General features: G+C 52.2%; 1 pseudogene, besides 4 other annotated features; it reads right to left on the bottom strand.

Moving 5' to 3' along the window:
• RN7SL543P (RNA, 7SL, cytoplasmic 543, pseudogene) lies at nucleotides 4,179-4,477 on the bottom strand (annotated as a pseudogene).
• Nucleotides 6,058-6,107: a silencer, noted in NCBI's record as "silent region_7575". NCBI's record gives its function as "represses an Ori minimal core promoter by ATAC-STARR-seq in GM12878 lymphoblastoid cells {active_cell/tissue: GM12878}" and the evidence as "EXISTENCE:reporter gene assay evidence [ECO:0000049][PMID:35858748]".
• Nucleotides 9,701-10,240: a silencer, noted in NCBI's record as "silent region_7574". NCBI's record gives its function as "represses an Ori minimal core promoter by ATAC-STARR-seq in GM12878 lymphoblastoid cells {active_cell/tissue: GM12878}" and the evidence as "EXISTENCE:reporter gene assay evidence [ECO:0000049][PMID:35858748]".
• Nucleotides 9,705-10,204: an enhancer, noted in NCBI's record as "H3K4me1 hESC enhancer chr16:67047695-67048194 (GRCh37/hg19 assembly coordinates)". NCBI's record gives its function as "activates a minimal SCP1, AML or CMV promoter by ChIP-STARR-seq in naive H9 embryonic stem cells {active_cell/tissue: H9 hESC(naive)}" and the evidence as "EXISTENCE:reporter gene assay evidence [ECO:0000049][PMID:30033119]".
• Nucleotides 10,205-10,706: an enhancer, noted in NCBI's record as "H3K4me1 hESC enhancer chr16:67047193-67047694 (GRCh37/hg19 assembly coordinates)". NCBI's record gives its function as "activates a minimal SCP1, AML or CMV promoter by ChIP-STARR-seq in naive H9 embryonic stem cells {active_cell/tissue: H9 hESC(naive)}" and the evidence as "EXISTENCE:reporter gene assay evidence [ECO:0000049][PMID:30033119]".

Raw genomic sequence — 13,409 nt, 5'->3', positions numbered from 1 at the left:
GCAAGTAGCTGGGACTACAGGTGCCACCATGCTTGGGTAATTAATAAAAAAAAATTTTTTTTTAGAGATGGGGTCTCACTATGTTGTCCAGGCTGTACTTCTTCTTTAAATATGTTCACCGGCCTCTGATTGTCCTCCATGGAATGACTGCCCCACAGCATCCATTTATTCATTTGGCTCCATGCTATGGCCAAGGAGATGGTCAGCCCACCTGGGACATAGCAGTCCCCTGGATTCTAGGAGGATTTAGTTCTACACTAATTTGTTTACTTTACTGTGAAGCCTTCATATGAGGGTCTCTCCCCTCACCCTTAAAACTTTTTAAAGTTATTTAAAACTTGTACTTTTTTTGTAGAACATTTAGGACATACAGGCCGGGTGCAGTGGCTCACGCCTGTAATCCCAGCACTTTGGGAGCCCGAGGTGGGCGGATCATGAGGTCAGGAGATGGAGACCATCCTGGCTAACACAGTGAAACCCTGCCTCTACTAAAAATGCAAAAAATTAGCCGGGCATAGTGGCAGGCGCCTGTAGTCCCAGCTACTCAGGAGGCTGAGGCAGGAGAATGGCGTGAACCCGGGAGGCGGAGCTTGCAGTGAGCCAAGATCGCGCCACTGCACTCCAGCCTGGGCAAGCAACAGAGTGAGACTCTGCCTCAAAAAAAAAAAAAAAAAAAAAGTTCTGGATAGTATTTTTAGGATCAATTTCCAAAAGTAGAACCACTAGGTCAAAAGATATGGACATTTTAAGATTCCTGATGTATGTTGCCAAATTTCTCTTTGACATCACCTCTTCTCTTTTCTTGAGTCTTAAGAATCTGTTCCTCCTCCTCCTTCCATTTCTCTTATCAGTGTCTGAGACACAGGAAATGCCAACCAAGAATAAACCAAGAGCTGCAGATAGAGATCAATGGATCAATACAGGAGGTTGAATAATTCAACACTCACTTCTGGCTCATTATTGACTCTGGAATCCAAATGCCTCTTTTACCTTCTCTCCTTTTGTGTCCCAGCTGATAACGCCTTGATAACCTGCCATGTTCTTGGATTCTTTCCCAAACTTTCCAAGCTTGGAACCATCAAAACAGGCAGGCTTTCTCATCATGCTGTAATATTACCTTGTAAATAAGCAGAAATAATTACTAGCCCACGGACACCTCACCAGCCTGCCTCCCCTCCAGGAACACAAAAAGGGCAATTTAGAAAGCAGACAATCGTTCTTTTCCTTGAGATGACACTACTGAGTAAATAGGCAAGGAATTCAGCTTTGGTCTGCTCCAGGCCTGGCTAACTTCCCTCTGTCTAGCTTGTCTTTCTCCCCTTTCTTGGCCAGACCAATTCACACTCTTCATTAAGTGTAGTTTAGAGAGGCCAGGCTCAGTGGCTCATGCCTGTAAGCCCAGCACTTTGGGAGGCCAAGACAGGTGAATGGCTTGAGCCCAGGAGCTCGAGGCCAGTTTGGGCAGCATGATGAAACCCCATCTCTACAAAAAGATACAAAAAATTAGCTGGGTATGGTGGTGCAAGCCTGTAGTCCCAGCTACCCAGGAGGCTGAGGTGGAAGGATCATCTGAGGTGGGGAGGTCGAGGCTGCAGTGAGCTGAGATTGTGCCACTGCAGCTCTTCAGCCTAGGCAACAGAGTCAGACCCTGTCTAAAAATAATAATAATAATAATAATTCCACACGCGGTGGCACATGCCTGTAATCCTAGCACTTTGGGAGGCCGAGGCGGGCAGATTACCTGAGGTTGGGAGTTCGAGACCAGCCTGACCAACATGGAGACACCCTGTCTCTACTAAAAACACAAAATTAGCCGGGTGTGGTGGCGCATGCCTCTAATCCCAGCTACTCGGGAGGCTGAGGCAGGAGAATCACTTGAACCCGGGAGGCGGAGGTTGCAGTGAGCTGAGATCGCGCCATTGCACTCCAGCCTTGGCAACAAGAGTGAAGCGCCTTTAAAAAAAAAAAAAAAAAAAAGAGTAGTTCGAGCCGGGGCAGTGGCTCACACCTGTAATCTCAGTACTTTGGGAGGACAAGGCGGGCAGATCACCCGAGGTCGGGAGTTTGAGACCAGCCTGGCGAACATGGTGAAACCCTGTCTCTACTAAAAATACAAAAATTAGCTGGGGGTGGTGGCACATGCCTGTAATCCCAGCTACTTGGGAGGCTAAGGCAGGAGAATCACTTGAACCTGGGAGGTGGAGGTTGCAGTGAGCTGAGATCGTGCCACTGCATTCCAGCCTGGGCAATGGAGTGAGACACTGTCTCAGAAAAAAAAAAAAAAAAAAAATGTAATTCAGAGGCCTCTGACAAGGCTTTCTAAACTATGCTGGGCAGAATGATTGCCCCTCAGCGTGCCCTCACCAATGCCTATGAGACAAGACTGGACTCAACTACCTCAAAGGCATCCCACAGGCTTGATAGCTTCCCTAGTCCCGGCTTATGCTAACTTCATCTTGCTCCCTCCTGCCCAGTGGGAGCTCCCAGCATGCTTTGCAGTTTAGGTAGTGTTGGTGACGGAGATGGACACAAAGATGAACAACCCAGGTTTCCCTTCAGTGAATTTCTTTCTCTCTTTCTTTCTTTCTTCCTCTTTCTCTCTCTCTCTCTTCTTTCTTTCTTTTCTTTTTCTTCTTTTTTTTTTTTTTTGACAGGGTCTTCCTGAGTCAAGTGCAGTGGCATGATCCTAGCTGATTGCAGTTTCCAACTCCTGGGCTCAGGCGATCCTCATCTCAGCCTCCTGAGTAGTTGGGACTACAAGTGCACACCACCACGTCTGGCTAATTGTTACTTTTTCTTTTTTCAATATAGAGTCACATTCTGTTAGCCAGGCTGGGGTGCAGTGGTGGCATCATTGCTCGCTGCAGCCTCAAACTCCTGGGCTCAAGTGATCCTCCTGCCTCAGTCTCACAATAGCTGAGACCACAGGCACACACCACTCCACCTGGCTAATCCATGCTTGCTTGCTTGCTTCCTTCCTTCCTTCCTTCCTTCCTTTCTTCCAGAGACGGGGTCTTGTTATGTTGCTCAGGCTGGTCTCGAACTTCTGGGCACAAGTAATCTTACCACCTTGGCCTCCGAAAGTGCTGGGGTTACAGGCACAAGCCACTGCATAAAGCAATTTTCCAAACACTCTCTCGCTGGCCTCTCCTTAATTTCTTCAAGATAAAGAGGGAAGGCCGGGCATGGTGACTCACATCTGTAATCCCAACACTTTGGGAGGCCGAGGTGGGGGGATCACGAGGTCAGGAGATTGAGACCATCCTGGCTAACACGGTGAAACCCTGTCTCTACTAAAAATACAAAAAAATAGCTGGGCGTGGCACATGCCTGTAGTCCCAGCTACTCTGGAGGCTGAGGCGGTAGAATCGCTTGACCCCAGGAGGCAGAGGTTGCAGTGAGCCAAGATCGTGCCACTGCACTCCAGCCTGGGTGACACAGCGAGACACCATCTCAAAAAAAAAAAAAAAAAAAAATGCCGGGCGCGGTGGCTCACGCCTGTAATCCCAGCACTTTGGGAGGCCAAGGCGGGTGGATCACGAGGTCAGGAGATGGAGACCATCCTGGCTAACACAGTGAAACCCCGTCTCTACTAACAATACAAAAATTAGCCAGGCGTAGTGGCGGGTGCCTGTAGTCACAGCTACTCGGGAGGCTGAGGCAGGAGAATGGCGTGAACCCGGGAGGCGGAGCTTGCAGTGAGCCGAGATTGTGCCACTGCACTCCAGCCTGGGCGACAGAGCAAGACTCCATCTCAAAAAATAAAAAATAAAAAATTAAATAAATAAATAAAGGATAAAGAGGGAAATAATTACTGTCTTATTTTGTAGCTCTTGAAATTGAGACTCAGAACAGGTGACTGGACTCATTCAAGGGCATATAGCCAGGTAGACTCAGAGAGAGAGAGATCCCAGAGAAGTCCTGCAGTTGAAGAAATGCAGTCACTTAACTCTTTAATTTTTTTTTTCTTTAGAGGTGGGGGTGTCTTGCTATATTGCTGCTCAGGTTGGTCTTGAACTCCTGGCCTCAAGTGATCCGCCTTCCTCGGCCTCCCAAAGTGCTGGGATTACAGGTGTGAGCCACAGCGCCCAGCCTATTTTATTTTATTTTATTCGTTCAAGGCTGTTTCTCAGTGTGAACTATTTCATTTCACTATTCCTTTTTTTTTTTTTTTTTTTGGAGATGAGGTCTTGCTATATTGCCCAGGCTGGAGTGCAACAGCTACTCACAGGCACGATCCCACTACTGATTAGCACAGGAGTTTTGACCTGCTCCATTTTCGACCTGGGCTGGTTCACCCCTCCTTAGGCTACCTGGTGGTCCCTCGTTCCTAGGAGATCACCATATCGATGCCACACTTAGTGCAGACACCTAATCAACATAGTGAATTACAGCCCAGAACTCCTGGGCTCAAGCAATCCTCCCGTCTCAGCCTCCCGAGTAGCTGGGACTGCAGGCACATGCCACTGTACCTGGCTAGTTTTCCGTTTTACCTTCCTTCACATGCTGACTCACCCTCAAGTGGTACCCATTCTCTTTCCTGATGTTTCTACAAAAATCTTGAGATTGAGCTTAATAGTCCAAGTCTGGGTTATCTGGTCATCCCTGAGCTGTGGTGTGGACACGGTGAATTGCCGAGGACAGGGTGGTGTCACGGGAAAAGGAATGGCTGTACCGTGCAGGCAAAAACATCAGAAGGTACCTGGGTTAGTGTCTAGCACAAAGTTGTAAGTGTTCAAAGAACGGTGGCTATGACACTGTTTATGGTCCCTTCTAGCTCTGAAATGCTATGAGTTGTACAACGCTTTGGTTGATACAAAGCCATCTGTAAACGTTGCCAGTAAGGGAAGCACAGGATAACAATTTGAGTTCACATAAGGTCTAGCCAAAATGCCATACAATGAGCTGAAAGGGTGCCTGAAACCAGGTGCAGTGGCTCACACCTGTAAGCCCAGCACTTTCGGAGGCCAAGGCAGGTGGGTCATCTGAGGTCAGGAGTTCTAGACCAACCTGGCCAACATGGCGAGACCCCATCTCTACTAAAAATACAAAAATCAGCTGGGTGTGGTGGCTTATGCCTGTAATCCCAGCTACTTGGGAGGCTGAGGCACGAGAATAGCTTAAACCTGGGAGGTGGAGGCTGCAGTGAGCCGAGATCGTTCCACCGCACTCCAGCCTGGGCGACAGAGCAAGATTCCGTCTCAAAAAAAAAAAAAAAAAAAAGTAAATGCCTGTGGCCTGCCTCCTTTTCTTTTTTCTTTATTCTTTTTTTTTTTTTTTTTGAGATGGAGTCCTACTCTGTCACCCAGGCTGGAGTGCAGTGGTGCGATCTTGCTCATTGCAACCTCTGCCTCCCGGTTTCAACGTTTCAAGCGATTCTCCTGTCTCAGCCCCCCGAGTAGATGGGATTACAGGCGAGCACCACCATGCCCAGCTAATTTTTTGTATTTTTAGTAGAGACGGGGTTTCACCATGTTGGCCAGGCTAGTCTTGAACTCCTGACCTCAGGAGATCTGCCCACCTTGGCCTCCCAAAGTGCTGGAATTACAGGCGTGAGCCACCATGCATGGCCTGGCCTGCCTCCTTTAGTAGTGGAGCAGGGGCAGTAGCAGTGCCAGAACCAGGGCATGGCCTGGAAAGGACTTCCTGAGCCTCTGGGGCCTGCTACATCCATAGCTCTTTCAAAAGATCCTGCTTCTATCAGCACTAAATCATCTGGCTGGACCTGGGACTGGACCTGCCCTGGGAGCTGAAGGGAGCCATGCATAGCTAGAGCAGAAGTGCGGGCTCCAAAGCCTGACCAATGTGGATGCTTTAGGTTAGGTGGTGATCGTGATCAACCAATCAGAGCATTCTCTGAGGCACGTGTGTAGTGTGAGTGTGCCTGTGGGTACCAAGCCCAGAGGAGGCAGTCATGAAGCTCAGGTTACATTCAGGCCTCATTCAGACTGTAAACCATGGAAATGGTGCCCCCTGGAGGTGTGTGCTGCAACAGCTATTCTGTCGGCCATACCTGGATGCTGGCAGGTGGGGCTGCTACCAGAATAATGGGTTCAACATTCAGGCTGCCTCCCTGCTTCTCACGTGAGACCTCCCACTACCAATGATTGTTTGGGTATAGTTGCATCCTCACTCTTCAGAAAAATATTCTTGTCTCAGATATACTGAGTATTGTGGATATATTGGTCGCCTAGAGGCCAGGCAGGTTAGGATTTCTCCTGGCAGGGAGTATCAGAGAAGCCAGTTGAGTGTCTGAGATCACACAGCAGAGGGAAGAGTTACATTAAAACCCAAGACCCCCTACTCATCAGCAGCCTTTCCTAGCACTGCAGAATCCTGTGATTTGGGAGCAGCAAATCCATGGTGGCACCCCTGCCAGGTGCTGAGAGGCCCAGCAACAGGCCCAAGGATGTGGGGTCTCTAGAAGGCCCCGGAAGCTACCAGCCCTTCCCCCAGGTCAGAGGAGCTGCCTCTTTGGCAAGAGACGTGAATCGGCCACAGGCGCCTCCTCCAGCTTTTGATGAATTTTCCTGCCACTGGTGCTAATTTCCTGAAAGGCCTTTTCTTTCACCTTCAGGCTCCCCCTCAAAAGGGTTCTTGCTCTTTGTCGGCGGGGGATCCATGATGATCACCCAGCAGCTACTTGGTGAGGTCACCAATGTGCTCTGCCAGCAGCTCCTGTGGCTGAAAGGGCTTGGAGTGGACAGGGGTCCTGGACCATGGCTACAGGGGGCTGAGGCCAGAGTCCTGTCCTAAAACAGGGACTGTTCCCAAAGAAAGTCTGGCCCAGGGAGGCAAGTGGTCTGCCTGAGGACACACAAAAGAACAGGCCCAGACAGGAACACACATCTCCCTAAATTCTGACTAAAAGGCGTGGTGAACCCTGCTCTGTCGGCCATGTGATCTCAGCCTCTGAGTTCTTTCTGGGCTCATCTGGGCCCTCCTCCCCTACCTACTGGCTTCCCAAACAGACCCAAGCCTAACCCCTCATGGCAGTGGAGTCATCATTGCACAGACGGCTGGTGGTGGGAGTTGAGAGTGCTGTCTTAACAAGCTTTCTGTGGGGTGGGAGGTCTGTTTGTGCCTCCACCCTGGACTGGACACCTCTTGGGGCTTTTCCTGGGCCCAGTGGGTAGATGCCAAGGTCTCCCAGGTCTGGGGAGGGGCCATGTGAGTTCCCAGACCTGGCTGGGTGGGAGTGTGCTAGGCCAGAGTACACCAGGGGCCATCCTGTGAGTGGGGGAGGTGAGTGATCAGAGCTGACCTCCTGCCTTGGCCTAAAGTTCCTTGGAAAAACAGTACACCTGCCCTTATGTGTCACTAGGTCCTAACCATCTACTTTGGGAACTTGCTTGCTCGATTCCACGAAGGACCCACTGTCTAGTTCTCTGCCACCATCCCCTGGTCTGCCCACTTCCACTCTCTCTTCCTCCAGTGTCTCTGTACTAGGTAACCTCAAAGACCCTCCTGGAAGGTGAATCTGACCAAGACATGCCCCTCCCATGGCTCCCTAGTGCCTCAGCATAGAGTCCATGCTCCCTCCCAGCTTACAGGCCTGGTGCTCCAGTTCTGGGCCATTTCCTCTTTCAGTCTTTCTGTGGGGGCCATGCTGACTGACATAGAGCTGCTGGGACTGAACAAGCCAATTCCTGCCTCCAGGCCTTTGCTCCTGCTGTGCCCTCTGGCTGAGACAGCTTCCCCTCCACTCCCACCTTCACTCCCTCCACTATTCCCTATAGGTCCTTTCAAAGGCTCCTCCAGGAAGCCCTCCCTTTCCATCAGCCTCCCACCCCAAGGTGTCTCAGTGGTCAGACAACTGTGATGAAAAACAGATCCCTGCCCATGGCTACCTTCTGAGTGTCCAGGCATGCCCCCTCTCTTGTCTGAACTGCCCCAGCACTGCCCTGGCTCTCTTTCCATTTGTCTGTCTGGCTGTGTGTCCACCAGCTTCTGCCTCTTTCGTCCATCCCTGACTTTTTTTTTTTTTTTTTTGATAGGGTCTCACTCTGTCGCCCAGGCTGGAGTGCAGTGGCACAATCTTGGCAACCTCCGCCTCCCAGGCTCAAGCGATTCTTGTGCCTCAGCCTCCTGAGTAGCTGGGATTACAGGTGTGTGCCACCACACCTGGCTAATTTTTATATTTTTAGTAGAGACAGGGTTTTACCATGTTGGCCAGGCTGGTCCAGAACTCCTGACCTCAGGTGATCTGCCTGCCTCGGCCTCCTAAAGTGCTGGGACTACAGGCATGAGCCACCATGCCTGGCCTTTTAAAAAATCTTGTCTCACTGCAACTTCTGCCTGCCAGGCTCAAGCCATCCTCCCACCTCAGCTTCCCAAGTAGCTGAGACTGCATGGGCATGCCACCATGCCTGGCTAATTTTTGCATTTTTCGTAGAGATGGGGTTTTGCCATGTTGTTCAGGCTGGTCTCGAACTCCTGGGCTTAAGCCATCTGCCCGCCACAGCCTCCCAAAGTGCGGCGATTACAGGTGTGAGCCACCGCGCCCAGCCAACCCCCTGACTTTCTTGGCTGATTGTTCCATCGTCTCTTACACCTGTCTCTGTCCCTTTCCTCATTCTTTAATGCAGCCGCACCTCATTCCACTGGACTCAAGGTGGTGTCATTGTCCCTATGTTCCTTCATTGTTGCTATGTTCCTTCATTGTTCAGTCTGCATCCCCCAATTTCTGACAGGGGCTCTCTCCCTCTCCACACAGTTAATGACCTTGGTGGAAAGAAGCAATTCTGGTTCTTTAAGAGACATGGTCCACACTTTCCCAAAGAAAGTGGCTCAACAAGACCTGAGTAAAGTTCCAGAGCACGCAGCAGGCTCCCAGCCCTCCAGACCTGAGGGAGCAGAGGAAGAACACACAGAAAAGGCCACTGCATCCAGGACTGGTCCAGCCTCAGCCCTTCCACCCCAGTCCCTTGTGGCACTCATGGGGAAACAGCAGGATCTCTTTGGTCGACCTCACTTGTGGACCTTCCTACTGAACCCTCTCCCACTTCTTGTTTCAGAAACTTCAGCCTCCTGCAGAGGATGTACTGGGCTCAGGCCCACTTTATCCCTTACTCCTGGGCCCCAGTGTGACCAGTTTCAGCTGGAAGGGGGTTCTTTGGGGGAAGGGAAAGCCTTGACGGGTGGCATCTGTCCCCTACAACTCCCTCTTCCAGCGCCCCCCTCCTTTTTTTTTCACCCGATGCCTCCCTCCCTGGACCTCGGGGCTTTCTTTAGCTTGGGGTCCTAGCCAAGCTCCTGGATCTTCTGCCCATGCAGCCTGCAGGCTCCTGGAGGGTAGGACCCATCCCTCTTGGGTCTCCCAAAGCCTCTAGGTGGGTAAGTCAGGTTGTGCAGGGGAGGGACCCAGGGGAGGAAGTTCATGCATTCACTGTCAGTAATGAGTGCTTGTGTCCCTGTGCTGCCCACCCCGTATCCTGCCTACGTGCCTGTCGCGGGGCACGATCCAGCACCGGCCGTGGGTTTCCAAAGCCTGGCTCTGCCGTAACCACCAGTGGGGAACTGCTCCAGCTCGGCCAGCCCAGAACCGGGCCTTGGAGGGCCGGAAGAAGCAAGGAGGGCCATGAGAAGGCAAGAAGGCTTGGGCCGGGCCGCCCCCGCCTGGAGACTGCTGGCGGGCGCCAAAGCGCAGGCTGTCGGGGGCGCGGAAGCCCTCTCAGTGGAGCGCAGCCCACTAGCCCCCACCACCCAGCGGAGGCGAGATTCAGCTCCCGGCGCCCGCACGTCCGCCCCGGCTCTGGGCTGGCGCCAGGCGGCTGGATCCGTGACTGCAGTTGGCGGGAGGCCGGACGGCGCGTCCCCCGGGACTCCCAGGCAGCCAGCGCTGTCGGCCCGGCAGGGAGGGCTGTGGCAGGCGGGCGAGCGGCGGGAGGCTGGGGGCCCGCGGCGGAGGCAGCGCTGCGTGGGCTGCGGTCAGCAGGGGCCCCGCAGAGGGGCCGCGTCTCCTGCGCTAATTGGCCCTTTCCCAGCCGCCTGGGCGGGTAATTGCTGCTTCGCGGGTGGAAGGTGGGGGCGTGGCGAGGGAGAAGCTGGGGCGCTGCATCCGGAGCCAGGAGCCAGGCTCAGCCCCAGGTGGGCGGCCCGGCCCGGCCCGGCTGGCAGGGGGCTCCTGTGTGCACTATGCCTGCATGAGCTTAGCGCCCGCACTCTTTCGTACCCGCGGTGGCGCGGGCGGGTGGATGAAACCCGGCGGTGGGGAGGGCGGCTGGGGCAAGACTCAGAAGTGTCCTCGGGCTTTCACCAAGATCCAGTCTGTTCTGCGCACCGATCCACGCGGGATGGGGCCTGGCAGCAGCTTCAGGAGAGACTCCAAGTGGCCGTGGGAGGACCTGAGTGGGGGCAGGAAGACAAGGTGGGACGATGGGGCAGTAGTAGGTAGCCCTCCCGCCTCTGTCATCCAGCAATGTAACCCAGGGAGGAGCTGACGAGAAGAGGGACACCTTCCTGGGTGTATGGGGAGGGTGTGGAGCCGGGGCTGTGGAAGGCAGGGGCCAACCCAGCATTCAGGCTGCCCACTGGGGTTCTCCCAGGCTTGGATTCCTATGGAGGATCCTAGGGTTTCCTCAGAGCCCTTTATGATTGTCGCATCTGCCACAGCCAGCTTGGACCCGACTAAGCCCTGGCTCCTGCTCAGCTGCACTTCCTCCAGTTGGGGGAGGAGGGCCCTGGGCAGGTGGCCATTAGAGGCAGCTGCCCTCCCCACAGACCCATGTGAGAAAGCATGAGGAGGGGCGTTCAAGAAAAATCATTCATGGTCCTTATTAAAGCTCAGTAAAGCAGACTTTATTCAGGAGCATCGAAATAGGCATAGGGGCCGAGCAGTTAGCTTGTGCCTGTAATTCCAGCACTTATGGAGGCCAAGGCGGTAGAGAGGGTCTCACTCTGTCACCCAGGCTGGAGTGCAGTGGTGTGATGATCATAGCTCACTGAAGCCTCGGCCTTCTGGGCTCAAGCGATTCTCCCACCTCAGCCTCTTGAGTAGCTGGGACTACAGGCATGTGCCACCATACCTGGCTAATTTTTTTAATTAATATTTTTTGTAGGGATGGGGTCTTGCAGTGTTGCCCAGGTTGGTCTCAAACTCCTGGGCTCAAGCAGTCCTCTTGCCTCAGCCTCCCAAAGTGCTGGGATTACAGGTATGAGCCACCGTGTCAGGCCCAAAAATTAAAAAAAAATTAGCCAAGGCTGGTGGTGGCTGTCTGTGGTCCCAGCTATTTGGGAGGCTGACGTGAGAGGATTGCTTGAGCCCAGGAGTTTGAGGCTGCAGTGAGCTGTGATGGCACCACTGCACTTCAGCCTGGGCAACAGAGGAGACCCTGTTTCCAAAAAAAAAAAAAAAAAAAAGAAAAAAGAAATAAAAAGAAATAGGCATAGGGACTGCCACAGTGGGGTTTTGCAGTCAGGCAGCTGGGGACAGAGATTGGGCTCAACTCTGAATACAGCATGGACAAGTGAGAATTTATAGCCAAGGAGCAAGGTGGGGTCAGTGGATGGAAAATTACTAAGATGAAATATCAGAGATAAAGGGGGGAATTGTGGCTAAGCCCATCCAATAGGATTCTTGTTGCAGGCAGGCCAGGGTGACCAGACATCACCTTGGGGATAATAGAGGCTAAAGAACTTTTATTTTTTATATTTTTGAGGCAGAGTCTTGCTCTGTCACCCAGGCTGGAGTGCAGTGGCACGATTTCAGCTCACTGCAACCTCCACCTCCTGAGTTCAAGTGATTCTTCTGCCTCAGCCTCTCAAGTAGCTGTGATTACAGGCGCCCACCACCACATCCGGCTAATTTTTGTATTTTTAGTAGAATGGGGTTTCACCATGTTGGCCAGGCTGGTCTCGAACTTCCGAGCTCAAGTGGTCTGCGTGCCTCTGCCTCCCAAAGTGCTGGGATTACAGGCCTGAGCCACCGTGCCTGGCCGAGGCTAAGGAACTTAATTAGATTATGGAAGATGATCAGATATCGAAGGTGGGGGGCTCTGGTTAAACTGACTTAGAAGGAATCTTGCTAAAAAGTCAGGCCTAGCTGAAAAAGTTCAGGAAAGTCTGAGTAGAGTTTGGTCAAGGAGAGAATCTTTGTCAGGGGAGAAATCAGGGGGAACCATCAGAGGCAGGCCTGGGCTAGCTCCTGGGCTGTGCCAGCAGGCCCCAGGGTGAGTAGCCGAGGACCTCCAGGTCAGGATGTCCCTTGTGGACACTGGAGTGAAATCAGGCTCAGTTGGAACTGAGCTCCTGCTGAGTTCTGCACTGGCTGCCCCTGGACCACCTTCCGGGGGCTGAACTAGCAGCCCTCACTCTGGCTCCTTACTGATGAATGGCTGTTTGGTTGCCTGGGACATCCTCCGGCTATGCTTCCTGAGACCAGAGCTGCCACATCTCTGGTGGTAGCCACCCTTCTCAGGGATTGCTCCAGGTCTGGATGGAGGTGGCAGGATGCCTCAGACAGGCCTGGATCCAACTCCTGCTCTGCCTCCACCAGCTCAGGCCCTTGGGCAAGGCTTTTTAATGTCTCAATGCCTCAGTTTCTTCATCTGTAAAATGGGGATAATAAGATCCACAGTTGTTGTGAGGATTAATGTTTGCTTGGGAGGGGCTTCCGCCCTCCTCCACCATCCCTTTGCTTTGGGGGTTAGATCCTGGGGTATGGGGAATTAGATGTGCCTCATCCCACAGATCTGTGCAGCTTCCATTTGCCCCAGAGACTCAGGAACCTCTGGGAATAAAGGGCCTAATCAACACTAGTTTGGGACAAAAATACTGTGGGACACTATGCCAGTGTTCATAGCAGCATTATTCACAATAGCCTAAAGGTGGAAAGAACCCAAATGCCCATCACTGGATGGATGGATAAACAAAATGTGTTATATACTTGCGATGGAATATTATCCAGCCTTAAAATGGAAGGAAATTCTGATAGATGCTACAGCATGGATGAAACTTGAAGACATCATGTGAAGTGAAATAAGCCAGACACAAAAGGACAAATACTGCATTACTGTACTTATATCAGGCACCTGGAAGAGTCAAGTTCATAGAGACAGAAAGCAGAATAGGGGTTACCGGGGGCTAGGAAGAGGGGGTAACAGCAAGTCATTGTTGAATGGGTACAGAGTTTCAGTTTAAATGATGAAAAAGTTCTAAAGACAGAATAGTGGTGATGGTTGTGCAATGATGTGAATGTACTTAATGATATTGAACTGTACATTTAAAAATAGTTAAAATGGGCTGGGCGCGGTAGCTCACGCCTGTAATCCCAGCACTTTGGGAGGCCGAGGTGGGTGGATCACGAGGTCAGGAGATCGAGACCGTCCTCGCTAACATGGTGAAACCCCGTCTACTAAAAGTACAAAAAAAAAAACATTAGCTGGGTGTTGTGGCGGGCACCTGTGGTC

This window comes from Homo sapiens, chromosome 16, assembly GCF_000001405.40.
Source record: "Homo sapiens chromosome 16, GRCh38.p14 Primary Assembly".
NCBI classification, from domain to species: Eukaryota; Metazoa; Chordata; class Mammalia; order Primates; family Hominidae; genus Homo; species Homo sapiens.
The sequence above is the reverse complement of the archived record's forward strand: the minus strand, read 5'-3'. Positions and strand labels throughout refer to the sequence as shown.